The sequence below is a fragment of the Homo sapiens genome, chromosome 11 (assembly GCF_000001405.40).
Source record: "Homo sapiens chromosome 11, GRCh38.p14 Primary Assembly".
Taxonomy (NCBI): Eukaryota; Metazoa; Chordata; class Mammalia; order Primates; family Hominidae; genus Homo; species Homo sapiens.
This window is the reverse complement of record NC_000011.10, coordinates 66256900-66284298: the sequence shown is the minus strand read 5'-3', so window position 1 is coordinate 66284298 and position 27399 is coordinate 66256900. Positions and strand designations below refer to the sequence as shown.

At 59.2% G+C, this 27399-nt stretch overlaps 4 protein-coding genes and 3 long non-coding RNA genes across 21 annotated transcripts in view, besides 14 other annotated features; 4 read left to right on the top strand and 3 right to left on the bottom strand.

The window, feature by feature from the left end:
* Positions 1–92: 92 nt before the first annotated feature.
* CNIH2 (cornichon family AMPA receptor auxiliary protein 2) lies at positions 93–6124 on the bottom strand. Of its 4 annotated transcripts, none has more exons than NR_073078.2 (6): positions 5762–6124; positions 1946–2040; positions 1519–1566; positions 1152–1264; positions 908–1051; positions 93–729 (listed from the first exon to the last, which is right to left on the bottom strand). NR_073078.2 is itself a non-coding variant. In NM_182553.3 (6 exons), the coding sequence occupies exons 1-6, from the start codon at positions 5840–5842 to the stop codon at positions 702–704; spliced, it is 483 nt and encodes a 160-aa protein (NP_872359.1). In that variant the 5' UTR covers positions 5843–6124; the 3' UTR covers positions 93–701. The 4 variants fall into 4 exon arrangements, 2 of the variants coding, with proteins under 2 accessions (NP_872359.1, XP_047282664.1); NR_073079.2 differs by having other exon boundaries at positions 1972–2040; positions 5766–6124; NM_182553.3 differs by having other exon boundaries at positions 1972–2040.
* Positions 1350–1853: an enhancer, noted in NCBI's record as "H3K4me1 hESC enhancer chr11:66049917-66050420 (GRCh37/hg19 assembly coordinates)". NCBI's record gives its function as "activates a minimal SCP1, AML or CMV promoter by ChIP-STARR-seq in naive H9 embryonic stem cells {active_cell/tissue: H9 hESC(naive)}" and the evidence as "EXISTENCE:reporter gene assay evidence [ECO:0000049][PMID:30033119]".
* Positions 5774–12142, top strand: LOC107984340 (uncharacterized). The gene is made up of 2 exons (XR_001748274.1): positions 5774–5804; positions 11707–12142. It is a non-coding gene; the product is annotated as an uncharacterized LOC107984340 (long non-coding RNA).
* Positions 6019–6348: a silencer, noted in NCBI's record as "silent region_3585". NCBI's record gives its function as "represses an Ori minimal core promoter by ATAC-STARR-seq in GM12878 lymphoblastoid cells {active_cell/tissue: GM12878}" and the evidence as "EXISTENCE:reporter gene assay evidence [ECO:0000049][PMID:35858748]".
* On the bottom strand, positions 6807–15660 carry RAB1B (RAB1B, member RAS oncogene family). Its single transcript, NM_030981.3, has 6 exons — positions 15606–15660; positions 12430–12502; positions 12047–12142; positions 11839–11934; positions 8364–8495; positions 6807–8255 (listed from the first exon to the last, which is right to left on the bottom strand). Exons 1-6 carry the CDS (start codon positions 15617–15619, stop codon positions 8061–8063), a joined length of 606 nt encoding a protein of 201 aa, NP_112243.1. The 5' UTR covers positions 15620–15660; the 3' UTR covers positions 6807–8060.
* Positions 11214–12413: an enhancer, noted in NCBI's record as "BRD4-independent group 4 enhancer chr11:66039357-66040556 (GRCh37/hg19 assembly coordinates)". NCBI's record gives its function as "activates an origin of replication core promoter dependent on BRD2, P300/CBP, MED14 and CDK7 cofactors, and independent of BRD4, by STARR-seq in HCT116 cells {active_cell/tissue: HCT116}" and the evidence as "EXISTENCE:reporter gene assay evidence [ECO:0000049][PMID:35650434]".
* Positions 14560–15441: an enhancer, noted in NCBI's record as "H3K27ac-H3K4me1 hESC enhancer chr11:66036329-66037210 (GRCh37/hg19 assembly coordinates)". NCBI's record gives its function as "activates a minimal SCP1, AML or CMV promoter by ChIP-STARR-seq in primed H9 embryonic stem cells {active_cell/tissue: H9 hESC(primed)}" and the evidence as "EXISTENCE:reporter gene assay evidence [ECO:0000049][PMID:30033119]".
* Positions 15602–15931: an enhancer, noted in NCBI's record as "active region_5041". NCBI's record gives its function as "activates an Ori minimal core promoter by ATAC-STARR-seq in GM12878 lymphoblastoid cells {active_cell/tissue: GM12878}" and the evidence as "EXISTENCE:reporter gene assay evidence [ECO:0000049][PMID:35858748]".
* KLC2-AS2 (KLC2 antisense RNA 2) lies at positions 15888–16750 on the top strand. Its single transcript, NR_186342.1, has 3 exons — positions 15888–16000; positions 16091–16244; positions 16468–16750. It is a non-coding gene; the product is annotated as a KLC2 antisense RNA 2 (long non-coding RNA).
* Positions 16052–16101: an enhancer, noted in NCBI's record as "active region_5040". NCBI's record gives its function as "activates an Ori minimal core promoter by ATAC-STARR-seq in GM12878 lymphoblastoid cells {active_cell/tissue: GM12878}" and the evidence as "EXISTENCE:reporter gene assay evidence [ECO:0000049][PMID:35858748]".
* Positions 16402–16451: an enhancer, noted in NCBI's record as "active region_5039". NCBI's record gives its function as "activates an Ori minimal core promoter by ATAC-STARR-seq in GM12878 lymphoblastoid cells {active_cell/tissue: GM12878}" and the evidence as "EXISTENCE:reporter gene assay evidence [ECO:0000049][PMID:35858748]".
* Positions 16439–27399, bottom strand: part of KLC2 (kinesin light chain 2) — a 23923-nt gene continuing 12962 nt past the window's right edge. The window contains exons 1-16 of one of the 11 annotated variants that reach the window (NM_001134775.2): positions 26811–27011; positions 25477–25752; positions 22327–22557; positions 22107–22176; positions 21263–21485; positions 20552–20639; positions 20347–20448; positions 20080–20253; positions 19855–19954; positions 19227–19276; positions 19064–19131; positions 18536–18644; positions 18287–18445; positions 18082–18206; positions 17809–17866; positions 16439–17426 (exon numbers count right to left, since the gene is read on the bottom strand). In NM_001134775.2, coding sequence (NP_001128247.1) covers positions 17343–17426; positions 17809–17866; positions 18082–18206; positions 18287–18445; positions 18536–18644; positions 19064–19131; positions 19227–19276; positions 19855–19954; positions 20080–20253; positions 20347–20448; positions 20552–20639; positions 21263–21485; positions 22107–22176; positions 22327–22557; positions 25477–25704 — 1869 coding nt within the window. In that variant the 5' untranslated portion in view covers positions 25705–25752; positions 26811–27011 and the 3' untranslated portion in view covers positions 16439–17342. Of the gene's footprint in view, positions 17427–17808; positions 17867–18081; positions 18207–18286; positions 18446–18535; positions 18645–19063; positions 19132–19226; positions 19277–19854; positions 19955–20079; positions 20254–20346; positions 20449–20551; positions 20640–21262; positions 21486–22106; positions 22177–22326; positions 22558–25476; positions 25753–26427; positions 26597–26810; positions 27012–27399 lie in introns of those variants that run through there. The other 10 variants (NM_022822.3, XM_024448657.1, NM_001318734.2 and 7 more) reach the window with 10 other exon arrangements.
* Positions 16562–16881: a silencer, noted in NCBI's record as "silent region_3584". NCBI's record gives its function as "represses an Ori minimal core promoter by ATAC-STARR-seq in GM12878 lymphoblastoid cells {active_cell/tissue: GM12878}" and the evidence as "EXISTENCE:reporter gene assay evidence [ECO:0000049][PMID:35858748]".
* Positions 16902–16951: a silencer, noted in NCBI's record as "silent region_3583". NCBI's record gives its function as "represses an Ori minimal core promoter by ATAC-STARR-seq in GM12878 lymphoblastoid cells {active_cell/tissue: GM12878}" and the evidence as "EXISTENCE:reporter gene assay evidence [ECO:0000049][PMID:35858748]".
* Positions 17208–18090: an enhancer, noted in NCBI's record as "H3K27ac-H3K4me1 hESC enhancer chr11:66033680-66034562 (GRCh37/hg19 assembly coordinates)". NCBI's record gives its function as "activates a minimal SCP1, AML or CMV promoter by ChIP-STARR-seq in naive H9 embryonic stem cells {active_cell/tissue: H9 hESC(naive)}" and the evidence as "EXISTENCE:reporter gene assay evidence [ECO:0000049][PMID:30033119]".
* KLC2-AS1 (KLC2 antisense RNA 1) lies at positions 18613–24732 on the top strand. Its single transcript, NR_186327.1, has 6 exons — positions 18613–18947; positions 19079–19156; positions 19437–19595; positions 20419–20608; positions 22287–22574; positions 24457–24732. It is a non-coding gene; the product is annotated as a KLC2 antisense RNA 1 (long non-coding RNA).
* Positions 25030–25998: an enhancer, noted in NCBI's record as "H3K27ac-H3K4me1 hESC enhancer chr11:66025772-66026740 (GRCh37/hg19 assembly coordinates)". NCBI's record gives its function as "activates a minimal SCP1, AML or CMV promoter by ChIP-STARR-seq in naive H9 embryonic stem cells {active_cell/tissue: H9 hESC(naive)}" and the evidence as "EXISTENCE:reporter gene assay evidence [ECO:0000049][PMID:30033119]".
* Positions 25425–25504: an enhancer, noted in NCBI's record as "active region_5038". NCBI's record gives its function as "activates an Ori minimal core promoter by ATAC-STARR-seq in GM12878 lymphoblastoid cells {active_cell/tissue: GM12878}" and the evidence as "EXISTENCE:reporter gene assay evidence [ECO:0000049][PMID:35858748]".
* Positions 25635–25884: a silencer, noted in NCBI's record as "silent region_3582". NCBI's record gives its function as "represses an Ori minimal core promoter by ATAC-STARR-seq in GM12878 lymphoblastoid cells {active_cell/tissue: GM12878}" and the evidence as "EXISTENCE:reporter gene assay evidence [ECO:0000049][PMID:35858748]".
* Positions 26175–26784: a silencer, noted in NCBI's record as "silent region_3581". NCBI's record gives its function as "represses an Ori minimal core promoter by ATAC-STARR-seq in GM12878 lymphoblastoid cells {active_cell/tissue: GM12878}" and the evidence as "EXISTENCE:reporter gene assay evidence [ECO:0000049][PMID:35858748]".
* The window catches only part of LOC124902694 (uncharacterized), a 12878-nt gene continuing 12190 nt past the window's right edge, over positions 26712–27399 (top strand). Inside the window, exon 1 of one of the 2 annotated variants that reach the window (XR_007062737.1) lies at positions 26712–26979. Coding sequence is in view for 1 of the 2 variants with exons in the window: in XM_047427981.1 (XP_047283937.1) it covers positions 26757–26806 (50 nt within the window). In the remaining variant the exon portion in view is untranslated. The remainder of the gene's footprint in view (positions 26980–27399) is intronic. The other variant, XM_047427981.1, reaches the window with a different exon arrangement.

Genomic DNA, 27399 nt, shown 5'->3' with positions numbered 1-27399 from the left:
GGGGATTCAGCTTAGGGCTGCCCCCTATACAGTCCCTGTAATCGGCCCCCATCTCCTCTTCAAGCTTTCCAGGAGCAGAACCGGGGCCCACATATTTGCAGTAGTTTATTCATATTTTGTCACAAATGGCCGGGGAGGGGGTGCCGGACTCCTCCAGGCGACATAGAAAATAGGTCCAAGAGACAAGGTGGGCTGAGGTTGGGGCAGATGGAGACAGGGCTGGAGAAAGAGCCTGGGGGAGAGGGGAGGGCAGACTAGGGGTGGGGCTGCCCCCCTGCTGAGCCTGCTCATTCCCGGTGCGGGTACCCCCCCACCTGCAGGGGGAGCCTCAGGGTGGGGGTGGAGGGGGATGGCCCAGAATTTCCAGGGTCAAGCTCTGCCCCTTGGCAGGGCCCAAGTTTCCCCCGAAATGGACAAGGCCGGAGGTCCTGCCCCTTCCAGGAATGACTGCCATGCCCACAGGCTGGCAGAGGAGCCCCTGCCCCTGTTTAGAGCTCTGCCCAGCCGCTCTAGTCCAAGGGGGAGGGCTCTGAAGGCGGGGTGGGGGGGGTTCCCCGCAGCAGCAGTTTGGGGGTTGGAGAGGCTGGGGGCACCAGTGCCCCCTCCCTCCCCAGGGCTGAGGCCTCTGCGGCCAAGGGGCAGGGCTGGGGGTGCACAGGCGTCCGGTCCGTTCTGGGCTCGCTCCCTGGCCGGCTTCCCCCTTAGAAACTCACCAACGTATAAACCATACTGTAGGAAGATGAGCCAGTGAGCCTAGCCCTGCACACACACAGCCACCCAGATGCCCACCTGGTCACACCCTGGGCTGCCCTCAGTCCTCAGGGGCAAAAGGCAGGAACTTGGGATTGGAAGCGTGATGCTGGGACATCCCTTCCCTGAGTTCTGACTGCTGTGGGCAAGGCCTCACCTGTACAGGTAATAGAAGAAGGAGAGCAGGTAGAAGGCAAGTTTGCACCAGGACTCCTTCTGGCAGTAGTTGAGAATGTCAGCATTCATGATGGAGACCGCATCATACATGACCTCAGAGCCATCTGCAGGACGGTGGAAGTACCTGGGGCAGACAGGGGCCTGAGTGTCTGCCATCAGGACTCCCACCCCCATCCTGCCCCTGTTCCCCATCTCAGCCTCCCCAAGGCAGCTGCTACCCTCACCTCCAGAGGTGGTAGAAGAGGAGGGGGATGTTGAGGCCCAGGGTCACCCACTCTGCTGCACACAGAAACATCAGACAGAAGAGGCCGTGGATGGAGTATTCTGGGACCACCAGCTGGGGGAGTGAGGGTGAGAGGTCAGCGGCCTGGTGCTATGACAGACCAGCCTTCAAGGGGACAGAGAGGAGCTGGGGTTTGGGAGGTGCCCACCCACCGTGACCTCTGGGGATTAAAAGGCCTCTGGCTTCCCACTCCCTCCCAAGTAGAGTGGATCAAACAGGCCCAAAGCAGGGGAAGGCCTGGTTCTGGGCCACAGACAGTGGGGGCAGCGCTGGGCTAGGAGCCTCCTGCCCCCAGCCCTGACACTGACCTTCCTCAGGAGGCAGCAGATGCGTTCGATGTTTTTTAAACGCTCGCGCTGTTGGGGGAAGGAAAAGGCCGCGATGGGGTGGCGGAGAAGCAGGTACTGGAGCAGCTCCCACCGCTCCACATGTGGCCGCCAGGGGGCGCCAGAGCGATCTCTGCGGCACTGTCGGCACGGCCGGGAAGCAGCCGCGCCGTCCCCATGGCGACCGTCACCATGGAAGGGCCTTCACCCGCGTCTCCATGGCAACGGCCCAGAGCCTGGCAACCACCGCCCCGCCAAGAGGAACTCAGCCCTGAGCCCGCGCCAGGTGTTTGCTGGGGGCGGAGACAGAGAGGAAGGGGGCATGGCCGTAGGCCCCCCACCCCACCCCCGTCTTCCCGTCTCCCACCCCCAGCCCACGACAGATGGAAAGACAGACGGACGGACACACCTCGGCACAGCACATGTATCACTTACTGCCCGCGCAGGGTTCCCCTGGTCGATGGGGTTCTTGAAGTCGGTCCGCAGCTCATCAAAGGCTATGATCTGGGGGAGGGGCGTGTGCCCGTCAGGGTTGGGGCAGCAGCTTATGGCCTTCCCCCAAGTCCTTCTGTGGGATAGTTTACTGAAGAGGACCAGCCAGGTGGAGCTTGTTGCAAAGGTGGAGAAACCGAGGTCCAGGGAGGAGCAGGGCCTGGTCCAAGGTCATTACAACAGTCCAGAAGGGAACCCTAGCGTCTGGATGCCCAGTTCAGGCCCATGTCCACTACACCCCCTTCCAAAACATCCCAAGACATGGCTTCGTGTCTGCCCTGCCAAGTCTCAGGCCCTGTGCTGAGCACTGGGGCTCCAGAGGCCTGGGATGCAGCCCCTGCCCAGGAGGAACCCAGGCCCAGAGGGATGATCACTCTGCCTTCCAGGTGATCAGGGTTTGGGGTACAGGGAGGACCTGGAGTGGGCGCTTAACCCTGTGTGGGGGGTGAGGGAGTTCAGGCTGGACTCGGAGTAGGTGTTGGTGAGCAAATGGGGGAAATGCAGTCCAAGCAGTAGAAGGTGCAATGGCAGAGGGGTGAAAGGTCAGGAGACATTCAGGAGGCTGCGGGTTTCATGGGGCTGGCGTGACAGCGCAGCGAGCAGGAAGAAAAGAGAGAGTGGTGGAAGAGGAGCTGGAGAATTCAGCAGAGCCAGACATGGGCGCCCTGTGAGGCCAGAGCAGGAGTTTGGACTTACTTTAACACAAAAATTTTGGGGGGAGGCATTGAAGAGTACACAGCAGCAGAGTGGGGTGGTCAGGTCCATGTCTTAGGATTGGTCCATGTCTCAGGATTGGTGGGGCAGGAAATCCGAGCTCACTGACAGTCACAGCTGAGATCTAAGTGGTGCTTCTCCTGGCCGGTATGTGGATTCACTCATTTAATTCTTAACAACCTTATGACTTAGGTACTAGTTTTATTTTCATGTCTGTTTTGCAGATGAGGAAGCTGAGGCAGGTTAAGTGACTTGTCCAGGGCCACACGGCTGGTTAGTGGATTCTAACCCAGTGTGACTCCAGAGTTAAAATTCCTAACCACTGTGTCATACTCAGGCCAGACCAGCAAGGGGACGGTTTGGAGGGTTAGGGGCAGGGCTGATGGTGGTCTGAGTGAGGAGAGTTGTAGTGGAGACGGAAGGCGTGCATGGGATTCTACAGCTCTTTAGGAGCCAGACTCCAGAGGGTTCAAATGGCTGAGAAGTGAAGGCAGAAATCTAAGGTGGCTTCAGGTGTTGGGGTGTCTGGCAGACGGCAGTGTCCTCACGGGTGGAAACTCTCCAGGGGAGCAAGTGTTTGAGGGGATGATGGGATGGGAAGGAGCTGACAGGTGACTTGGGGGAAATGGGCTGGCAGAGGAGCCTGCTGGGGTCCCCTCCTGTCGGCTCCAGCCCTAGGATGAGGCAGCAGGCCCACCACCCCCAGGCATCCCAGGCCCCAGACGGCTCAGAGAGAAAGAACATGGGCTTCCTGGAGGGAGCTGAGGCCATCTGGATCATCCCCCCTCCCCGCCCAGCTCCCCATTGACTCTGGGCAGCGCCACTTGGCACGCACAGCAACAGGGTCCACAGGGAGCAGAAGGGTGCCGTCTGTACCCCAGAGCTGGCACCACCAGCAGGCGGCGGGCGTCACCCCTCCCACCCCCCAGGCTGCCTGGCGCTGACTCAGCCCCCCGGAACAAACAATCCCCCATGGTGACAGCTGACACGCGTCACTCACCGCCAGGGTTGCCTAGGAACCACTGGGGCCTGGGCTGAGGGTCTGGAGTGGGATCTGGGGTCCCGCCCTGTTAAGAGTCTAGTTCTTAGCAGCTGTGGACTGAGGACCACGCCTCCTATCCCCTACCACCCAGCAGGCCGCACTAGGCACTCTGATGTGCACAGGTCCACTTTGCCGGCGAGGAACCAGACTTGGGACAAATGACTTGCTAAGATTGTCCAGCTAAATGGCTGAGTGGACAGAGTACCTCACACAGGTGCTCAATCAATATCTGTTGAATGAACAAAGACATTTCTTCAAAGCTTGGGCCTTTCCTCCCAGCCTGGGCACTCCACAAGGGCAAAGTCTGGGTTTTATTCATCCTTGACCCCCTCAAAGCCACCCAGAGCCTGATCTTTGGGAAGCATCAATGCAGGCGTGGTGGATAAACTGCTGAGGATCCCCTGAGGACAGGGACCCCACAGGGGCTGTGGGAAGGCCCTGGGTGGGGAAGGCCCCAAAAAGAGGCTTCTTGAATTCCAGGAGCCCTTCTCCCAGGAGCTGGTCAGCTCTGCATTCCCTAGCCTGTGGCCCCCAGCTCCCTCCAGTCCTTAGAACCCTAGCCCTCCTGCCCCTACCCCACAGAAAGAAAAATAGAGTAACTCGGGGTGCGGGGGAGAGGGGGAAAGACAAAGCAACCAAGACCCAGAGAGAGAGCAGAGCCAGGCCAAGGAGTGACAGGGCTGGAGCTGGGGTGTGTGCTGAGGTGCCTTTGGGGGCTCACTCTTCACACAGTAGGGGTTCAGTCTATGGATTCCCGATGTCAAAGAGCAAGGTGGCAGGGGATGGCAAAGGGAGCGCAGGGGGAACCATGGAGCAGGCGGCAGGTCCCAGGAAGAGAAAGGAGAGAGGAAGTGGAGAGCCCGGGAAAGAAGCAGGTGAGGCACCGGGAGGAAGGAGGGAAGGGCTATGGGAAATGGGATTGAGGGAGGGATAAGAGGACCCCTGAAAGGGAATGACAATCAGGGAGGTGTGCGCGGGAGGTGTGAGCAGAGGATGCTGAGCTGAGCCAGCCAGGGCCGAGCTGGGCAGGCTGTTACAGAAACAGGCACGGGGTTTGGGTGGGGGTGGGGACGGAGGGCAGTAAAGTGGGGCCAGGGGCCCCCAACAACCAGCTGGAGGCTGATTGATAGTTCTGTAGTGAGGGGACGGGAGCCAGGCAGAGGAGGCCCTGGAGGAGAGGAGCGGGAGGGGAGGAGGAGGGAGCCTGGGGGAAGCGATGGGTCGGATGCAGGATGAGGAATGGACATTTTGAAGAACCAGGTGTGAGGCTAGGCCAGGGCGAGGGACAGACCAAGGGGTATGTGAGAGACAAAGGGGAAGGGGGACAGGAAGAGGAGGGAAGCTGGAAAATGGAGAGGAAACCTGGGGGGCTGGGAAGCCCCCAACAGGAGGGGTAGGGAAACCCAAGGTGAGCCGGTGGTGGGGGCTAGGTCTCTGGGGGCTGATGAGAGCCAACTGCTGCTTGGTCAGGGAGGGGGCTGGGAAGGCAAAGGGTTAATGGACTCTGAGATCTGTGGGTCCTGTAAACAGATGCAGTTGCCATAGCAACCAGCTCCATCACTCTGGCTGGAAAAACCCACAAAGGCGGGGGGGGGGGGGCAGCAGACAGACAAACTGCCCGACGGACTAATGGAGGCGGCTGGATGGTGGTGGGGGGGGACATAGAAGATAAAGCAACAAAAATGCCAGAATTCCACCCCCCACCTCACGGGCTGCATGGGAGCAGAGGACGAGGGCAGAGGAGGGGGTCAGAGACCGACTGACATACACACAGACAGGCGGGGGCGGCGGAGGAAGGGGGGCCCCGGGAAGAAAGCCGACCACGGGGGGTGTTAATGGGGGCGAAGCCGACAAGCCGACGGCTGGGGGATAGCAAGTTTCCCCTGGGCTCTGAGACCACCCGCCCTGGGTCCCTCCAGCTCCGCGTGGCCCCTGCCCCCCACCCCGCCCCCAGCCCCAGCCCCAGCCCGGCCTTACGTGCCAGATGACAAAGAAGATGAGGGAGGCGCACAGCACCAGGGTGAGCATGTAGCAGAACGCGGCGAAGGTGAACGCCATGGCCCCCGCGCCGGGCGGCGGCCCGGGGGGCGCCAGCGCGGGGCCCGGGCGCAAGGGGACGCCCCCCGGCCCGCGCTTAGGGCCGGCCGGGCATGGCCCGTGGGGCTCGGGGGACGTGGGTGATGCGGCCGGGACCGGGACCGCGGGGCCGTGGGGGGCGCGGGGCGCGGGCCGGTGGGCTCGGGGGGCGCGTCCGCTGCCGGCTGCCCGGGCCCCGATCGCTCATCCTGCGATCCCTCGCCCGCGGCTCCCTCGCTCTCCAGCCCGCGAAGCCGGCGGGGCGGAGCCGGGGGCGGGGCCGCCGCGCGAGCGGCCTCGGGCGGGGCTGGGTCTCCGCGGGCCCCTCGTCTGCCCGCCCGGCTCGGGCGCCACCCCCAGCCCCGACAAGCCCGCGGCCGTTCACCCTCCGGACAGCGTAGACGCGGCCGCCCCCGGCACCCCGCACCCCTCGGCACTCCAGCCACCGGCACAGCCGCACTCGGCCCCCTCGGGCGGGCGCTCAGGGCAAAGGCTGAAGTGCGAGGCACTTGTCACTGTCGGAGACGGCAGAAGCACCTGGCTGGGACACACAATGACGCCAGGACAGGGGCTGAATGGGAGCAGTGGGGTTTTGGGGGGCGCTGAAGGAGGTTGGGCCAGGTGCAGTGGGGGCCCTCTCAGCGGCTGCGCGACCCCACACCTCTGCCGTGTGCCCCGCGGGAGTTGGCGGCGGCACGCCAGGTATGAGCTGATGGCCGCCTGCCTCTTTCCCTGACAGAACGGTGCTGGGCCCTTGGGGACAGACCACAGAAGCACAAGCAGCTTTCCTGGCCTCAGGAAACGGGGTCAAGGGCTTTTGCCAGCAGCCTTAGGACACAGAAACCAAGCCAGGACCCCCGTGCACCCCACCAAGCCCAGGGTTCCAGTTCCATCCCCCCACCCCAAGGCTGGGCTTAGACCACAGACCACACTTGGCCACCACAACTTCCTTGCAAAAACCCTCAGCTCACCCGAGGGCCAATGGAAATTTATTAATTTTTTTTGTCCTTTTCCATCTTTCCCCAAGTGGCTTTTCCTTGCAAAATGCCTGACATGACACCAGAGGGGAACCTGGGAGCGGGGGGCACCCCAAGGGGGCAGCCCAGGGACTTAAATACAAGCTGGAGGGCAGGGCACAGGTGGGACAGGCAAGAGACAGCACGAGGGACATGGCTTCTCAGGGAGACCAAAGACTTGCTTTCTTGCAGGAAGCAGCTGTGCCAGAGGGCAGGGGACTAGGATCCTGGGTGCAGAGTGGGTGAGCAGAGAGGCCCCCAATCCTGGATGGAACCCACATTCCCCAGAGAAGTAGCGGCAGGGGATGAGGGCCTTCCCTGGTGGGCTCCAGAGACGGAGTGGGGAGTGAGCCAGATGTGCTACCTTGGGGAAAGGGAGGAGGTGCTAGCAGAGTGAGGGTTAAGGCTGGTGCCCAGCCTCTGGCACGGTGGGCCTTCCGCCTCCGCCTGACATGGGGACAAAGGGGCACGGTGGGCAGGCAGCGCATGGGTCTGTCTCTGGCAGGGCAGAGGGCGGCAGGAGCAGACTCCCTCCAGGCTCAAGACACAGGCCCAGCACTGCTACCCGCCCACCCGCCCTAGATATACTCAGATCCCACCGCAGCTGGACGGCTCGAGCTGGGAGTGTAGGAAGGGAGAGGAGGCAGTGGGGAGAGGAAAGGGTGGGCTGCTGGGCCCCTGTGGCCTCCATGCCTGTCCTGAGGTCCAGCCCAGGGCCCTGGATCCCAGGTCCTGGATCCCCTGGCCACATTCCTCGCCCTGGGCACTGACTGCAGCCAGGGCAGTAGAGGCCGGGGAGACCCTCAGTTCTTGGGCAGGACAGCAGGAAGAAGAAGGAGAGAACCCAGTGCAGCATACATGGGGGTGGGAGGGACACCGACAGAAGAGCCCTCGTTCCAAAGAAAGGTGTGTAGGGGGGCATCTTGGAAAGTCACCTAGAGGCAACAGCACAGCAGGCCTCCGCCCTGCCTGGCCACAGGCCCTGAGTGTCCTCCCTTAGGGACCCTGACAGAACCGGGGCTCAGGGCAGCAGGCAGATGGGCCAGAAGGAGATGGGGAGCCCAGGACACCCCAAAGCCACAGACTCAAATGCCCCAGGAGAGGGAGAGGGAGGTACCTCCTGCCCCCTCCAGGGACATCATCTGGAGAAGGTGCCCCCTCCTGTCCCACTCCATGTGCCCCTCCTAGCAACAGCCACCGCCAGCCGGCTTTACAGGGGTGCTGTCGATCTTGAGATTGGGCCGCTCGCCCCCAGAGGCTGCTCCAGGCCCCATCCGCTTTTTGATTTCAGCAGCCATGGTCATGAACGCCTGCTCGACATTGGTGGCATTCTTGGCGCTCGTCTCCAAGAAGGGGATGCCCAGAGAGTCTGCAAACTCCTGACAAGGGAGAGGAGAGAAGAGGAGGGGAGAGAAGAGGAGGGGAGAGCAGGTGAGGGGCAGCAGGCCCCAGCGCCCCGACCCCGGGCAGACCGGCCCGTCTGCTACCTTGGCTGTGGTGTTGTCCACCACCTTCTTGGTGGTGAGGTCGCTCTTGTTGCCCACCAGGAGCTTATTGACGTTCTCGCTGGCATAGCGGTCAATCTCCTGCAGCCACTGCTTCACGTTGGCGTAGGATTCCTAAAGGGGGCCAGGGGCCAAAGTTATTTTGCTCCCAACTGTCACCCCTACCCCAGGCCTGGAGAAGACCTTCTCTGAGGGGAACAGTACAGCTCCGGGCCCCTTAAGTCCTGGGCTCAGCGATGCAGAGATGCAGAGGAAGCCCTCTGCTCCAGGCTGAACCTTCCTCCCTGCCCTCTTCCATCCGAGACCCAGAACAGCCCCAGCAGCCTGCCAGCTGCCCCAACACCTCAACAGCTGCCCCAACTTGGGCCTGCCAGCTCTGCTCCCTGCAGCTGTCTCTCTCCCTGAGACACTTGCAGGCCCTAACCACATGTGAGAAGCAAAGAGAGAGCGGACGGGAGATAGGAACAGAGAGTAACGGGTCCGCAAGAGCCACAGTTCCCACCGTGGCCTGAAAATCCCTTTAAGGTTTGAAGCCTTGGAGCACAGGAGTTCGAGGGTCCTCTCAGAGGTGGCCCTGGCCTGTGGGGAGACAGGAATCCTGGGAACAGCCTAAAATTCATCCTACTTTTGGCACCAACAGCCTCATTACTTGGCTTCAGACTCTCCCAGCACTTGCGCCCCTACCCCACACACAAAGGACAGGACTTTCAGGAAAGTGCTCAAGCTAGGGCCACTTATACTCCTTAGGAGCCAGAAGCCTGGTCATATCACACTGGCTCAAACTTAGACCTCTTGCCATGTTCCAAGTTGGGTCCTGTGCTAAGTGCTGGGGACAAAGGGGGAAATCATACTTGGGCCCTGCCCTAACACATTCACGGGACAGTAGATGAATAGACCAGGCCACACACAAGGGCAAAACAGGTTAGAAGGCAGGGGCTGGGGAGCCCCCAGACCACCTCTGCTTGAGGTGGGAGCAACAGTGGACCTAAGCCTGCAGGTGGGAACTGGCCTTGTGCAGGAGAGGTGCCAGCTGGGGAGCCAGCATGTGCCAGGTCACTGAACGGGAGGGGCATGGTGTGTCTGGGGAATGGGAGGAAATGGAATGTTGCTGGGATGCAGACACTCAACAGGGAGGGGGGACAGGGAGGGGGAATGGGGGAGTGGGGAGGAGAAAGGCAAGAGGGGAGAGGGGGAAGAGGGGAGGAAAGAGGGGGGATTGGGGAGAGGCCAGAGCACAGACTGTCTTAGCATGGCTAAGTCTTGGACTTAGACCAGGAGCCAGTGGGCGTTTCTTAGGCCAGAAGCAACAGGATCACACCTATGCTAGTCCTGACAGGAGGCAGAGCCCAGATCAGAATAGCAAGATAGAGACCAACTGGGAATGGCTGGAATAACTCAGGGAAGAGAACGTGCACTGAGCCAGGGAAGCACACAGGATTTAGTCAGACCACTGCTGCTGAAGGCCTGGCTCAGCCATTTACTGTGTGACCCCAGGTATGTTACCTGACCACTCTGAGCCTCAGTTTCCTCATTTCTATAAACAGTACCTCCTAGAAGGGCTGATTGTGAGCATGAAGAGAATGAACACAGGCTTGTCTCATAACAAGTGCTTAATTGGCAAGAGCTGCTATTATCCTCATCACTGCTATTATTATGAGGGGACAGATTTCAGAAAGATGATGGGGAGAGAATAGAGGGGACTCGAGACTGACTGGATGGGGGAGGGAAGAGTTTTCTGGTCAGGCTGACAAGGATTGTGTCACAAAGATGGGGATGCAGCTGGGGCATGGTGGTGTGTGTCTATAGTCCCAGTGACTTAGGAGACTGAAGCAGGAGGATCCCTTAAGCCCAGGAGGTTGAGGTTACAATGAGCTATGATCACACCACTGCACTGCAGTCTGGGTGACAGAGTGAGACCCCATGTCTTAAAATAAATAAAAATATTAAAAATGGGGATAGAGGCGCTGGTTTGGGGAGAGACAGTGAGGCCAGCGCTGGACATCTGAGTTCTGCAGAGGCTGCTTGAGGGTGGGAAAGGGTGTGCTCAAAAGCCAAGAGCCCTCCAAAACTGGCTTTGCCCTTCCCGTGAGACCGGTGGCAAGTTACTTAACACCTCTCCAAGCAAGTTTCCTCATCTAGAAAACACAAACCTCACCATTTAGTTTACTAGAGAAGATCATGAAGATCAGGATTAATACAGACACAAAGTGCCAGTGTAGACATGGACAGAGGAGGGAAGCCACAGCCACGGCTGTTAGATGCAGGAATCACAGAACACAAGGCAGAAGCAAACCACAGAGTGGCCGCAGCCATGCACAAGAGTAAGGAGGAGAGTCCAGGGCAGTGGGGAAGCACCAAACACAGGGTGATGGGAGGCAGCACTGGACAGACCAGCAAATAGACACTGACAATAGAGAATCGAGTGCTGCAGGAGACTGAGGAGCGGGGGATGGTCCACTTTTCAAGGAGAGAGAAGAGAGCAGTGTCCAAAGCCACGAGAGGTCAATGTGCTGAAATAAGATCACTGGATATATGGCAGTCAGGTGGGCCCTGGTAACTTGTCTGGGTGGTATGTAGCTTCCCCACAGCTCGTCCAGAGCTGGGGACATCATGAGTCCCTGGTGAGCTAAAGAGCCCGGCTGCTCCTCAGACAGGGACTCTTCCCGGCCCACGGCTGATTTAAGCTTCTCCTTATCTTCAGGGATTGGCCCTGTTAAGCAACAACATTTGGTAGAAAAAACAAAGCAGGTGGAATGAGCCATCCAGGCTTTCTGCCTCTGCCACCGGACTAGCTGAAGGACCCTCGGCAAGTCACCTCACCATCCTGAGCCCAGCTCCTTACCTGTGCGATGGGAACACAGACCTCTTCTGAGCATCAGAGGCAATCTGAGGGCTGGGCCAGGTTCTGTAAACTATAAGGTTTCATGGAACCATTTCCAGCCCTTGCTACCACCACTGCTAGTCACATGGGACTAACGCTGCTGCTGGAGGCAGAGCTTCTGGATCTCTGCTCACATTGGGCCCAGAGCTCAAGCTTCCCTGCTTCTTTGTCTAAGGCCCTCTAATTGTCCCCCTGCACTGTGTCTTCACACAGGAAGCCACAGGCCCAGCATAGCAGCCAACCGCCTGACTAAACTCCCACAACACAAAGGTGCCCAGAAGGTCTACAATAAGGTGGCAAGTTTGGCTTGGTGGGGAGGGAAGGTGTGAGGCCTTGTCCTGCCAGAACCTGCAGCAGGGCCTTCAGAGGATCCATTTCTGTGGCTGTTTCCCTCCTTGTGAAATGAGTCCAAGTACAGTCACCTATTTTTTTTCTTTTTCCTAGTTAGTTCCTGTAAGCAGACAAATAGTGTCCTTTCCAGGAAGCATCAGGAAAGAGAGGATGGAAGGAGGAAAAAGAAGAGTCAAAGACCTAAGGCTAAGGAGGCCAAGCTGAGGATGGCTAGTCCAGGAGTACCTGGTCAGTGACGTCATACACCACGATGATGCCATGAGCCCCCCGGTAGTAGCTGGAAGTGATGGTCCGGAACCGTTCCTGGCCCGCTGTGTCCCACTAGGAGACAGTAGGCAGAGGAGCAGGTCAGCTGAGGTCCAGAGTCCCAGAGTCCCTTCCCTCCCAAGGTGGATACCTCTGTACTGGGGATTTTGGGAAGAGCGACACTCACGATCTGAAGTTTGATAGTTTTGCCATCCAGCTCGATGGTTCGGATCTTGAAGTCCACCCCGATGGTGCTGATGTAGCTCTCTGTGTACGTGTCATCCTGAAAGTTCAGGGGCCAATGAAATCATGGGAGTTAATGAGGTGAGGCCCACTTGGAGAGCCTCCCTCCAGTTCCCTGCCCCAGCTGGGTCTCCGAACCACCAAGCCCCAATTCCCAGCACTCAGCTGGCCAGCCCTGTCTTGTTCAGGGCAGATGTGCTGGTGGCAGGTCTTACAGCTTCACCCCTGGTTCCCAGATCTTGCAACTACTGTGCTCTGTGTTGTCCCTTCTCCCCCCAGCTGCCAGTCAGGACCCCAGGTGGATGGTATGGGAGGCTTCTTACTCACAGCAAACCGCAGGAGCAGGCATGACTTGCCCACGCCTGAGTCGCCAATCAAAAGCAGCTTAAACAGGTAGTCACTGGAGAGAGAAGATGGGAAGGCGTGAAGGGAGGCAGGGAGCCCACCTACCATCATCCTGGAGTCACAATTACAGGATTCCCCCACCCCATGAGGCATCCCTTGGTTTATTTTTATTTTTTTTTTAGCAATAAGGTCTCACTCTGTCACCCAGGCTACAGTGCACTGAAGTGATCACGGCTCATTGCAGCCTCTACCTTGCGGGCTCAAAGTGATCTTCCCACCTCAGCTTCCTGCGTAGCTGGGACTTCAGGTGTCCACCACCACCACCACTTCTAGCTAATTTTTTTTTTTTTTTTTTTTTTTTTTGAGACTGAGTTTTGCTCTTGTTGCCCAGGCTGGAGTGCAATGGCGCGATCTTGGCTCACTGCAACCTCTGTCTGCCGGGTTCAAGCAATTCTCCTGCCTCGGCCTCCCGAGTAGCTGGGATTACAGGCACCTGCCACCATGCTTGTCTAAGTTTTGTATTTTTAGTAGAGACAGGGTTTCACCATGTTGGCCAGGCTGGTCTCGAACTCCTGACCTCAGGTGATCCACCTGCCTTGGCCTCCCAAAGTGCTGGGATTACAGGTGTGAGCCACCACACCCGGCCCCTGGCTAATCTTTTCATTTTTTGTAGAGATGGGGTCTCACTATGTTGCCCAGGCTGGTCTCAAACTCCCGGGTTCAATTGATTCACCTGCCTTGGCCTCTGAAAGTGCTGGGATTACAGGGGTGAGCCACTGCGCCTGGCCATCCCTTGGTTTAGAATACTATGGTGCTCACCAGATCTTCCCAACAGTCCCGGTCAGGGAGGGCTGATGCCTCCCTCCACAAACAGCTAGCCCAAAGGGCTCTCAGCTTGCTGAGTCTAAATTCTCACTTTATGGAGAAAGAAATCAAGACACGTGACCTGCCAAGGCAACAGAGCTGGGTATCCTAACCTGATTTCTGAAACTTCATGGTTTGGTCCAGTAGGAGCTATTTAGGGAATCCCCAGTACATGCCCTGCGTGTGCCTAGCTTGGCAGAGAAGGCCCCAGAAGTAGAAGCCAGGGCCCAGCCTAGAACCTATTAAGTTGAAAACCCACGTAGAGAGACTGATGGCTGGGTGCTGTGGCGTGTGCCTGTGGTTCCAGCTACTGGGGAGGCTGAAACAGGAGGAGGATCCTTGGAGCCTAGGAGTGTATGACCAGCCTGGGTGATGCAGCACAACCCCGTCTCTCTTTTCTTTTGTTTTTTCGAGACAGAGTCTCGCTCTCTCACCAGGCTGGAGTGCAGTGGCACGATCTCGGCTCACTGCAACGTCCGACTCCCTGGTTCAAGTGATTCTCCTGTCTCACCCTCCAGAGTGGCTGGGATTACAGGCATGCGCCACCATGACTAGCTAATTTTTGTATTTTTAGTAGAGACGGGATTTCACCATGTTGGCCAGGATGGTCTCGATCTCCTGACCTCGTGATCCACCCACCTCGGCCTCCCAAAGTCCTGGGATTACAGGCCTGAGCCACCGCACCCGGCTAACCCCATCTCTTTGGAGACAACAACAACAACAACAACAACAACAACAACAACAACAACAACAAAAACCTGTTATGAAGTCACCAGGAAGAGGTGGTCAAGTTGCAGTGAAAATTGCACTTAAGGCTGGGTGCAGTGACTGACACCTGTAATCCCAACACTTTGGAAGCCCGAGGCACGAGAATCATTTAAGCCCAGGAGTTTGAGATCAGGCTGGGAAACATATCGAGACCCTGTCTTTACAAAAAATTAAAAAATGTGCCAGGTGTGGTGGTGTGCCTCTGTATTCCCAGCTACTCAGGAGGACAAGGCAGGAGGACTGCTTCAGCCCAAGAGTTGGAGACTGCAGTGAGCCATCGTCACGCCACTGCACTCCAGCCTGGGTGACAGAGAGAGACCCTGTCTCAAAATAAAAAAAAAAAAAGGCAAAAGGTAATCACATTTAATATACTTGAGTTCCAACCTGTGGACGGACCCTGTGTGAAGTACTTTAAATGCATCATCTCATTTAATCTTCACAACAGTTCAATGAAGTCAGTTTTGTCATTGTCAACTAATGAGGAAACCAGAGGCCAGAGAAGGGAAGTGACTTGCCCTAACTTACACAGTTTATCGCTTTAAGACTCAAACCAGGTTTCTCAGACTCCAAAGTCCCTTCGAGAGCCTGCTGGTTCCCTTCTCTGTTCCCCTCCCAATCCAGCTCAGAGCTTCACCCTTCCCCAAGGAAATCTGAGACCTGGATGTGGAGTAGAAAAAGGAAGTGGCAGAAAAGGAAGAAGATAACTGATACTTGGGGAAAACTATTAGTCCTGGGCATGAGATGTGGGCCACCTACCCGCAGGGGGAGTGACCAAGAGTGAGGAGAGTTTGAGGACCAGAGAATCCCACAGGAAGGGGGAGAGCAAATTCCATATTCATCTAAACTTCACAGGCAGTGTGACAGCCAAGGGAAGGGGTGTGACGGTGGCGTTGGGGGCCTGAGCAAAAGCGAGGAGAGGGCGGGAAAGGACGGACCGGCGGGAGCGACAGGACAGCGCGACCCAGGCAAAGGGTAGGAGGCAGCCCCGGAAGAGAGGACCTGCGGGAGACGCGACCCAAGCGGCGCTTCGGGGCCTCCCGCGTAGTTGGCTAGCTTCTGGGCCGGCCCCAGGAGCCGGGCTTCAGGAGAAAGAGAAGGGTAGAGGGATTCACTGCCCGACCTAAAGGGCCCAAGCCTGAACCCGAGACCAGAAACTATCAAGACGGGCTCCAAAACTCCGGGACAGTTGTCAAGCAGCAGGTGGGGAAACTGAGGCCTGAAGTGACCGGGACTGCGGGGTCATCTGACCGATAAGGCCTGGTAGGACCGATGTCTCGAGCTCCAAGAGCTGCCCCTGGGGGTCGCCACGTCTGGGCCCCGGGTGCGAGGGCTCGGGGTTTTGAGCCGGGGTCCTGGGGCCCCTGGGGGGAGGGGCAGAACCCGGATGTGGGGGGGGGTCAGCGGAAGAGGGACCCGGATGTGGGGGCGCCGCACAGTCCTGACCCGGGCCAGACAACCCCGGTAAGCGTACAGCCCTGTATTCGGGATCGAGGCTGCGCTGGACGGCGCGGGCGGGGCTCACTCACTATTCGGGGTTCATGGCGGCGGCGGCGGCCCGCTCGGTCGCTCCCAGTCGACTCTGCTCCGCCTCCCGTTCCAAGATGGTGGCCGCTCCGCCCCAGAGGCCCCGCCCGCGACGCGCAGGCGCAAACGTCTTCTTCTCAGGCCTCGCCGCGCTGATTCCCGGAACTTGTAGTCTAAGACGTTCTCCAACTCAGCCCCGCTGCGCAGGCGTAGTCGGGGAGCCCGCGCCTCCGCGCCCACTCCCATCACTGCTGGCGCATTGCCTTCTGGGGCTTGTAGTTTGCACTCCGGACGCACTCAGGCTTGAGGACAGTGCTGGAAAGCCTGACCGCGACTCGGTGTTTAGAAAGCTCAATTTAGGGCTGGGCTTGGCACGTTTCACATCTGTCTGACGGAGGTAGTCATCCTTGCCCTCCCAATACCCACGTTGTGAACATTAAATGAGAATGTGGGTTCTAGTAAGACTAATAAAAGTACATTTGTCCAGGGTTCTTCGTGTACTGGGCAGTCCTAACTCGCAGCCGCGCGTCATCACCCGCATTTCATAGATGAAAAAACTGAGTCTCGGGAAACTCACTCAAGGTCAAAAACTTTGTGAGGAGCAGAGCTCATAAGAGCCCGCGGTCTCCAGAACCCCACAAGTGAGTGTTTTAGGGAAAGCCTGACTTGTGGGCCCCTCACGCAATTCCGGGGTGGGGCACAATATCTGGGCCCAGCTGCGCGGACAGCGGTTGAGCGAGACACACTGTCCCCCACTCACGCACGACCCTTCCCGGCTCCACCCCAGTCTAGAGACGCTGGGGGCCCCCGACCTCCGTCTCAAAACAAGCCCAGCTCAGATTTAAACCGTCTTTATTTCTACAGCAACATCTGAAAATATGAGAGCAGCCGCCTCACCCGCAACAGGGGGAGCCCCTCCTGCCACCAGGGGACCGTCGCCGCCCCTCGCGAGAAGCTGCAGGCGTGGGGGGAGGCGAGGCAGGATGGCTCGGTGGGCGGTGCCCGGGGCGGGGTCGGCCGTGCCTGGGCGGGGCCGGGTGGGAGGGGCAGTGCATAAGGCCGGGATGCGGGGCAGGGCCCGGCGGTGGGAGGACGGACTAAGGGGAGGTCCCCGTCCTGGGCCACGGGGCGATGGCGCGGGTAGGACGCATCCCTCAGAGGCCAGGAGGAGCGCGAGAAGGTCCCAGGACCCCCTTGGGAGGCGCCGCTCCCGAGAATGTAGAGCCTGGGAGATACCACCGCACGGAATGGGGGTGATTAAGGCCTGGGCGGTACCACTAGAAGAGGGACGAGGGGAGGCCCGGGTAGTACCGTGGACTGAAGGGAGGCGCGCGGCCAATAACTTATTTCTCTATATACAGAAGCAACGGCCGGGTTGAGTCGGGAGGGAGGGCGAGGGTGCCGAAGGGCCGGCGAGTGCTTAGTGTTCTTGGCTCTGGGGTCTGGGGAGGCCAGGCCACTGAGTCTATGGTGGAGACTCCAGCCGGCACCTCCTGCTGGCCCGAACCTAGGGAAGAGGGCCCTGCTGGAAGGAATAAATAAGGGATGGAGCTGGAGTGGGCAGGCCCAGCCTCCAGGGCTCAGGCTGAGATGACAAGGGAGAAGGTTACCCTGAGATTGAACAGAAAAGACAGGGGCTGTGGGAGAGACAGGCGGGACAAGCAGCAGGCCCATGCGCAGGGCTGGGGTGAGGGGGGTGTGCCAGGTGGGCGCTCTGGTGACTGGCTGCCCCTTCAGCATTAGCCCACCAGGGAGCTTCGTCGGGAGAGGTCCATGGAGCTGGAGCTGAGAGTGCGGCTGTCAGAGAGACCTGTGCCTCCAGGCTGTGGGCAGAGGGGGCAGGTGGCTCAGCCCTGTGCTGCTGCCAGTCTGTGCCTCCCTGGCCTGAAGGGGTCTGACCTGGCAGAGGCAGCCGGAATCCCTGAGCTGGGCAGAGGCAATGGCAGTTCTGACCCAAGGCCACACCCTGGTGCCCTGACACTCCCGTCCATCTCCACAGTGACGGTGTTAGCACTGGCCGTTTACACGTCCACCCCCAGGAGAGGCTGGGTTCCCCTCGTGTCTCCCCGTTGTCCAGCCCAAAGTAGGCCTGAGACAGAGCCAGGAACTGTTGCTGGATGAAGAGGCATGCTGGAGGGAAGCTTGGCAGCACGCATGCAGCCCCGGCCGCAGCTGCCCAGTGCCCAGACACCCGCCTGCCCCTACCTGGGTCGGCTCTTCCACGCTCTTGTTGAGGAAGTTGAGGGAACTGGCCCGCTTCATCCTGAGGGAAAAGGACAGCCTGGGATTTGCCCAAGGAGGAACTCACGGGAGATGGGGGCAGGGAGAAGGGTGGGGCTGGGGAGGGAACAGACTGGTGGGTGGTGGAGCCTGAGAGGGATGGGGAGGTTGCCTGGGGTCAGTGGGGCACACTCTGGGTCAGGAGCTCATCCGGGGTTGCTGGGTGGTTCTTGAGGCTCACCTTGGTGGGGGGCTCACCTGGGGTTAGGGGGCTCCTGGGGGGTGCCCCCCTGCAGCTTCTTTACCAGCATCTCACTGCTGCGCCTCAGGGCATCCCGGAGTTTCCCAAAGGAACCGCTGCGCCTCAAGGAGCCACTGCCATCCTGCAGGTGGACAGGCTTGCCTCTAGGCCCCGCTGGCCACCTAGGCTCCCAGCCCGACCCGGCCCAGGCCCCGGACTCACCCCATTCCACTCAGCTGTAGGTCCCACGTCCTCGAGGTCAGACTCAGACCGAGGCCCGGCACCCCCAGCCATGTCTCGGCTGCTGCGGCGGTCTCCCCGCCTGCCACTGCCATCTTTCAGCAGTTCTACCACCTTGGTCTGGCTTGCGGGGTCCAAACCCTGAGGGAGGGGCAGGGGCATCAGGCAGTGAATGGACCACACCCAGGGCCACACAGGTGTCTGCCCACCCCCTCCTGCATGGAGCCCCACCTGCTTGCGGTTACGGCTGGCACAGTCCTCTAGTGTGTGCGCGGCTTCCAGCTTGCCCTGGCGCCGGTATAGGGCCCCCAAGCTGCGCAGGGTGGTGTTGACTGTGGGGCTGTGGATGGGACAGTCTCAAACTCCATGTTCCCCCAGACCCAGGGCCCATCCTGGCACCCAGCCCACAGTGGGCCCTGAGGAAGCATGGACCTCCGGGGTAGCCAGAATCCATTCCTTCCCATGTCAAGCCCTGTGCTGGGCCCACCCAGCCTCTTCTGTCCTGGGGAAATCACCCCAGGGCTGGGGACCTGGCCCCAGGGCCCTCATGGGATGTTGTCACCAGGACCAAAAGCTGGGAGACCCAGAGCCAGAGAATTAGGCTGAGAATTGGGAGACAGAGCCTTCTTGGGACAGGTGACCTGTGAGTTGGGCCTTGCCAGATGAGCAGCAGAGGAGGGGTGTGTTGGGGGTGAGAGTATGGAATGTGGAGCCCGCCCTGCCGTGCCCTGCTCCCCAGCCCAGCCCCGCCCCACTCACCTGTCTACTTTACAGGCCTTGTACCAGCTGCCGTATTCCCCATAGGGGGCGCTGTCCCGGCGCTTATCCTGGAGGAAAGAATGGTCACAAGAAGTGAGAGCAGGCCCCCCTCTGCACATCCCAGCCTCCCCTGACAACCGCCCAGCCTGCCCCACAGAGCTACCTTGCTTTCCTCCCGCTCCTCTGCGTGCATCCAGATGGGCTTGTTGTCCCCTGGGGAGAGAAAGGGGACTGTCACCAGCCTACCATATAGGTCTCACCTGGTTGGGCTGGACACAGGACTGGGGTCAGGGGAGGGGAGACCACGGTTGGGCTTCGTTGAATGCATGAACAAGAGTAAGACCCAAAACACTGCTGACCCTCTTCTGGACAGAGATGAGCAGAACAGACCCTTGCACCTCAGGCCACAGCCCAAGACATGTGCTAGGCCTGAATGATGGGCCAGGCTCCGAGGGACTCAGGAGCAGATGACTGACCATCCGGGGCCAGAGGTGGTTTCCCAGAGTGGGAGACACTGGGGCAGGCCCTCAAGGTGAGCAAGAATCGCCAGTGGAGAAGGGGGATGCAAAGGCGTGTGAGGCCCTAGCAGGCCAAGGGGGCTGCGTGAGTTGGGTGTGTGCTCATGTGTGCAAACGTGAGCACAGGTGGCTGGGCACCATCTGAGGGTGAGGCTGGTGACCAGCCAGGCCAAAGCCTGAGGGCCTGCCCTGCTGAGGGATTTGTCCTGGGTGCTGATGGCAGAGTGGGCCTGGGATGGATGGGCTAGAGGCACCTGGTGACCACGCACTCACCATTGACAGAGCCAAACTCTTTCTCATGAGCGCGGGTGAGGATCTCCTTGTACAAGGTCTCCGCATCCTGGTACTTGCCCTGCTTCAGGTAGCAGGAAGCCTGGAAGCGGGAGACCCAGAGAGTGAGCGGGATGCATGCAGCCAAGCCTTTTTCTCTCCTTCTTCCCCAACCTCATCCCTGCCTCCCTCCTTCCCATCCTCCAGCTCCTCTCAGCCCCAAGGTACCAGGTTGTTCTTGGTCTTGGCCACATTGGGGTCATCGGGCCCGAGGCGTGTAGCATAGATCTCCAGTGCCCGCCGATAGTAATATTCCACCTCCTCAGCTTTGCCCTGGTTCTGGCACAGCAGGGCCAGGTTGCTGAGCTGCTTGGCCACATCTGGGTGAAACTTGCCCAGGACCTGGGATGGGAGAGGGAGCCAGGGGTTGGGCTCAGGGCTGCCCGGGCCCCTGCCTCCCAGACCCCCAGCCTGCCCAGCCCTGCCTGTTCCCACCTTCTCCCGGATCTCCAGTGCCCGCTTGCACAATGGCTCAGCCTCCTTGTACTTGCCCCTCTTGCCATACAGGACTGCCAGGTTGTTTAGTGTCGCAGCCACCTGGAGGTGGGAGAACGGAAGCTTCTTGACTCAGGCCCTGCAGGACTCTGGGACCTGCAGGGGATGGGGCACAGCCCCCACCTCCCACCCAACCCTCACTCACGGCTGGGTGGTCCTTGCCCAGTGTTTTCTCCCGGATGGCCAGAGCATCATTGAGCAGGTGGGCAGCCTCCTTGTACTTGTTCTGATCCCTGGGAGCAGGTAGGAGCATGGTCAGGGCTGTCCTCCAGCTCAAGGCCCTCCCCAATGGTCTGCAATCCCTGTGGTCACTCCTGTACTCACTGAGTGTGTATGACAGAGTGAGACCCAGAGTGTGGGGAGACCTGCTCAGCTCCTGCTCTCCAAGCTCCAAGGGCTGTAGGCAGTTTTCTCACAATTGGCTGGGGTGCGCAGTGCTGGGGTCCCACCGACTGCCTGGTGCCTAGCATTCCTGGGCGCCACATGGCTCTCCTGCTGCCCCTTTAGCGTGTCCTGCTCTCCAGGTCCCAGTGCCTTTGCTCATGCTGGCTTTTTGCCATGGGAACCTTTTCTAGCCCTCTTGTGTTTGGGCAAACTCACTTTCTGGCAAAGCCCCTCCTCCAGCCTTGGTGCCTGGAGAAGCTGTGTGGACTCCCCAGGACCCCTGGAGTCCTCATGTGCAGTCCCTCCCCAGTTCTGGCCAAGCCTCTCTCTTACACTAGACAGTTTTACTTGCATCTGTAGCCCAGCTCCACGCAGGTGGGCCACGAGTCCTGGCCCACAGCAGGCACCAAGGGTTAGTGATCCAGGGCTGGAGCCTTCCAGAAGAATTTGGGCACCCCCAGAGAGTCCTCACCGATAGACCAGTGCCAGGATGTTCAGCATGGTGGCAACGTCAGGGTGGTCGTGGCCTGACGTCTTCTCCAGGTCTTCGAGTGCCTGCTTGCAGAGTGGCACAGCTACCTCGTAGCGGCCCTGTGAGGCGTATTGGATCACCAGGTTGTGCAGGGTGCGGAGCCGGGCCGGGATCTCGTAGCCCCCATGCTGACCAGACACATCCCCTCCTCCTGGGCTAGGGGCTGCAGGGCCAAGGGCAGGAGGTCAGATGTACCATCTGCCCACTGGACTGGGATGGCACATGCCAGCTGTGCCTTTGAGCCACTTGACACATGGCCCTGGGCAAGTCACTAACCACTCTTTCTCAGTTTCCCCATTTATAGAATGGGTCTAGTTACCCCATAGAAAGAGGGGGTAGAGGCCCAGCTCCAGTACTTCAGGCTCTGTGTCCTGGGGCAAGCTGCCTAACCTCTGAGCCTGTGTCCCTGTGTACAGAGTGGAGGCCCCGATGCATAACCAGTACCATCAGCAAAGCAGGCACTGGCCCCATTGTGGCTGTCTGCATGTGCCTCCTTCAGAGGTGATTCGGAGAGGAAGAGAACTCTCCCAAGGGTCAGGGAAGCTAGTGGCAGAGCAGCACTGGAAGCCAGGCTGGTGACTCCACAGCTAATTGTGATGTCTGCTCACCACAGAGCTGGGGGGATGTGAGAAGCAGCAGCACGTACAACTGTTCTTGAAGCTCTAACACACTAGGATGTCATGATCAGAAGTGAGGCAGGAAGGAACATGGCAGCCACTCGGTCCCAAGGACCAAGAGTTCACACAACCTTTCCTTCCCCCACTCCAGAACTGCCCATCCGCACCTGGGCTCTGCTCATCCTCATTGGGGAACAGGTCATCCAGTGTGTCTTTGGGGACGTCCCCCTTCTCCTCCTGGGAAGGAAGACAGGATGAGCATCAGGGAAGGAGGCACAGGGCAGCCGGGGTGTCCATGGGCTGGGGTGGAGCCGAATCTGCTCCATGCTGCCCCTCCCTGCTCCCAGGCCTCCTTGCTGGGCAACAGTGACCATGGTAGGAGCTCACGTTAGGGGAGGCGTCTTCATCCAACTTGCGGATCTGGCTCATGAACAGCAAGTGCTGCTTCTCCTCCTCGAGCTGGGCCACGGCCTGCTCACTGCGCTGCAGCTTCTGCTGTGTCCCCGCCAGCTCCTCACGCAGCCACTGGTTCTCCTGCACCAGACGCCGCACCTGCGCCCGCAGCTTCTGCTTCTCTGATTCTACAGCCCCCAGGTGGCTCGACAATGCCAAGATCACCTGTGCAACCAGCCCAGGTAAGGGTCGGAGGCCTGTCGACCCCCTCGCCTATGACTGTAGCCTGGGCCTAGTTGGGCTCTGGCACCCAGTGAAGGGCCAGGCCTGGCCCTACAGTGAGGAGCTGCAGGTCTTTTCTCTGCTTGTCAAGGGAGAATCTCCTCAAGGCCCCCGACACACCATAATGCAAAGCCCAAACCCAGGAGGCTTGGGAGTCCCCAGTTCCTTCCTTCTAGGATCAGGAGAACCCCAAAAGGGCTAGTTGGGGTGCTGTGCTTTCCCTGAGCTACTAGCCCCTTCCTTCGTCTCTCCCTGGGTTGTACTCAAGCCTCTGCTGCCACAGCCAGTAGGTTACTGCTCCCTGCCTCAGGGCTAGCGCTTGCCCACAGAACTCTGCTAGATGGCTGAAGGACCACCCAAAGACTCCATCCCCACTTCTGCTGAGGGGCCACAGCATCCCCTGCCTTTCTGCAGCTCCCAGGTAGGGAAGGGGCATGTGTCCCAAATGCTCAGTTGGCATGAGGAGCCACAGGGGCAGGAAAAGTATCCAAAGGCCTTGGCCTCAACCCCCACCCCTCTCCCCAGCCTCTGCAACTCCTTTCCTTAGTTTCCAGTCTCTTCCTGCCTTCCTGCCTAGGGTCCAACCTCCCTTCTTGCTCTCTCTTTTTTTTTTTTTTTTTTAATTTAAGACAATGTCTCACTCTGTCACCTGGGCCGAAGGGCTATGGCACCGTCACAGCTCACTGCAGCCTCTACCTTCCAGGCTCAAGTGGTCCTTCCCCCTCAGCCTCCTGAGTAACTGGGACTACGGGTGCACACCACCACAGCTGGCTAATTTAAAAAATTTTTTGGCCAGGCACGGTGGCTCACGCCTGTAATCCTAGCACTTCAGGAGGCTGAGGCGGACAGATCACGAGGTCAGGATTTCAAGACCATCCTGGCCAACATGGTGAAACCCCATCTCTACCAAAAATACAAAAATTAGCTGGGTGTGGTGGCGCGTGCCTGTAGTCCCAGCTACTCAGGAGGCTGAGGCAGGAGAATCACTTGAACCTGAGAGGCAGAGGCTGCAGTGAGCTGAGATCGTGCCACTATACTCCAGCCTGGGCAACAGAGCAAGACTGTCTCAAAAAAAAAAAGAAAAATTATTTTTTGTAGATACAGGGTCTCATGAAGTCCGGGATTTAAGCAGTCTTCCCACCTGGGCCTCCCAAAGTGCTGGAATTACAGGCGTGAGCCACCACACCCGGCCTCCACCCTTTCCCAGTCCTTCCCGGTTCAGGATCATTTCTGCAGTTGTGTCTCCAGCTAGTCACACCTCCCACTTTGCTCCAGCTTCACACATGGCCTTGATGCCCATGCCCTCCGTGCAGATTGTTCCCCCTCTGTGAGAGTGCACGTGCTCCACCAGGTGTGCGGCCCCTGAGTGGTCCTCTCTACCTCTGACGGCCAACTGGCAGGGAGTGAATGTCCTTGCAGAGGGCCAGGCTGTCTGAGACCCTGTACTTTGTTGTTGGTTAGCAAATGCCTAAGTGACAGGTGTTTCCATAACCACTAGCTTTAAAAAAAAAAAAAAATTCCCCCAACAGCCTGGAAGTGTACACAGCAGATGGCATGATCCCTATTTTAAAGACAAGGAAACCAAAATGATACAACTTCCCCAGGGTTCACGTGCCAGGCAGGGGCTCAGCCAAGCTCTGAGGGGAATAAAACAAGTCTAACTCCTTGTACATCCCAATGGCTCCTGGACATCTCCAACTGCATATCATCCTGGCAGCCTCAATTAAAGGAGGCCAAAACAGAGTTCTGATCCACCAAGGCCCTCTCCTCCCTTAATTTGCTTAAATCACAAACTTGGGAGTGATGCTGCCTTCCTCTCTCTCTCCCTTATTCCACCCCCAGGTCTTGCTGGACCTACCTCCAGAACATCCAGAACTGGTCCCTTTTCTCCACCGTCATAGCCACCCCTTAATTCCAAGCACCAGCTCTCATTTGAATTCCAGCAGTGGCTTCCTAACCACTCATTGGAGAGTGATTCCATCCTCGACCCACTGAGGTTTATTCTCCACATCTCAGCCAGAGAGAGTTTTTAGAAACTCAAGTCAGACTGTGTTGCCTGCCTGCTTAAAGCCCTCCAGAGGCTTTCTGATTTCCTGAGAATAAAACCCAAACCAACCAGGCCATGATCTGGTTCTTGGCTTCTCCCCAGGCCTCTTCTGTCCCTGTCTCCCTTCCATGAAGCTCCAGTCACACAGTTCTTCCCTGAGTTCCTCCACCACAAGCTCTTTCCTACCCCAGGACCTTTGCACATGCAACTTCTCCCCTGCCTCCCTTTCCTGGAGGCTGGTTCATTTCTTCCCTCAGGTTTCAGTTTGTCATTTCCTCACAGAAGTCCTGCCTGACCAGTAGACAAGACTCGCTGCTGCGAGCTATCATAAAATCTTGTTCTTTTCTCTGCAGAACTCATCACAATTTGTAACAACCAATTATTTCTGTATGTGTGTTTTTGTCTCTAATAGGGCAGGAATCTTGTCTATTTTGTTGGGCCCTGTATCCACCTAACACCCTGGCTGGCCCTCAATAACTCATCTGTTAACGAGTGAATAGAAGAATTAATTGGTGGGAGGCTATGTTTCCTTAAGGATTTTCTTTCTGTTCTCATATGCCATCCAGTCTCCCTTAGGTAGAGGGGAGCCGGAAATGGGGCTCTGCGTGGGGGCAAGGGTGATCATGGTCTCTTAGGGCAGGGCTGGGGTCGCCAAAGTGCATTTATTTCTTCAAAAGGTATTTACTGGGGTCCTAACATGGGGCTCCAGGAAACAGACGGTTCCCTGCTCAGATTCTTCTCCTACATTACCGGATTCCTCTTGAAGGCTCGATCCCTCCAGTGACCTCCCACCTCAGTGCCCCAGACTGACCTACCTGGGCCTCCCCCAGCCCAAGCTCAATGGCTTCCAGGGAGCGACGCAGGAGGATGCAGCGCTCCTGCGAGCCAGGCTCGGCTTCGCCGGCCTCAGGTGCAACCAGAGGAGCCAGCAGGGCACGATGCTCCCCACGCAGAGTCTCCAGTCCCTGGATGACAGCCTTGGTGCCCAGCACGATCTCATCCTGGCTCAGCTTCTCCTCCCGCGGAAACACCATCATGGCCATGGCTGTGGCGTCTGTGAGGACGAGGGTGCGGGCAGGCGGGCGCCGGGCCTGGGGCCACACCGCCGTCCGCCCCGGATTAGGTAAACAGGCGGTCCCCGGACGCCTGAGTCTCCCGTGTGCCCAGGTCCCCCAGCCGGCAGCCCGCACCGTGCCCGCGCTTGGCCTACAGAGGGCGCGCCTAGCTTGTCTAGGCCTGGGAGACGCAATGCGGTGCAGCCGGATCCTGCTTCGGCCCCAGACCACCGGCTCAGGCCGACTTAGGCGGCTCAGTGTCCGGGTTTCCCCGGGGACCCCCTAACCAGGACAGGTATGGGGAACGTGGGGGCTCACTCCTGTGCAGGAGACCCTGGCCCCTCCGGCGATCCGGGCCCAGCCCCTCGGACAGCCCCATCCCCAAAAGGCAGGCCAAGCCGCGGAGCCCATCCTCCCGACGAGCCGACCCTGCGGAGGCGCTCCCACTAGAGGGGCTGAGTACGCGGCCCCCAGTCCTTCCAGGCTACGCCCACGACGACCCCTCCCCTAGGCCAGCGCAACGCCCTGAGGCCTTCCCTGAAAAGGCCGCGCCCCCGCCCCGGGCCACCCGGGACCGCGCCCCCTACCAGGGCTGGCCCGATCCTCCCACAGGCCGCGCCCATGACGACCCCCTCCCCTAGGCCGACCCGGAGTCTCCTCCCCCGCTTTAGGGCCTGACCCCGTCTCCCGGCCCAATCGGCCCGCGCCGACCTGCGCCTGGTGCTCGGGCCCGGCTCCGACTCTGGCTGCCTCCCGCTTCACCCGGACCCGCACCCGCGAGCCGGTCCCGCCGCCTCCATCCCGCCGGCCTTCCCAGCAGCCCCCGCGCCGCCTTAAAGGTGAAGCCGCTACCTCGGTGGCGTCGGAGGGGGCGAAACACGCTTCTCTTGGCCCGTTCGCTGCCTTAAAGGAGCGCGGGCCGGGCCGGCTCCAGCGGGAGGGGGACGGGGCGGGGCCATCGAGGCGGGGGCGGTGCGAGGACCCGCCCGGGGCGCAGTTCCCAGGGCCCGCCAGCCCCGAGGGGTGCCCTCGGCCGCAAAATGCCGCGGGGCCTCAGCGTGTGGAGCTGCTCGGGAGGTCGAACCCGAAGGTACCTAGTGTGGCGCCATGGCGCCATCGAGGACGTCGGGAGAAACTGAGGCGCAGGGAGAAGGTTGGGCTTCCTGGAGTACAGAGCGAGGCGCCACTAACTGAGCGCCTACTGCGTGTTGCGCGCTTTGGTGCCCTGGGTTCATTGACTTAATGCTCACGAAGACCCGAGAAGTGAGTGCCGCTGTTATCTGGCTCGCAGATCTGACCCCAGGCTCCGCATCCCGGGGTCACATCCGGTGGGGGATGCACCGTCTCTGACAGAGGTGGTTCAGCGCCCTTAGCTCAAGCACATCCGGTGACAGGTAGCTTACTACGTTTGGCTCTGAGACAACTCGGAAGGTTAGCAAAAATTTCCTCTGATAGACCCCGAAGTGCCTTCCTGCAGTGCTCATCCACAGCCCTAGCTCTGTCTTCAGAAAGAAGGCTGCTCCCTTGTGTCAGTTAAGGTATTTGGAGACAGCGATGGTGCCCCGCGTGGTCTCATCTCTTCCCTGGGCTGCCCCTGGTCCCTTCACTCAGTCCTACCGCAGTTTCCTGACCCTTCCCCATCCCAATTTCTCCTTTCTGGGTGTAGTCTAGCTTGTCCGTCTG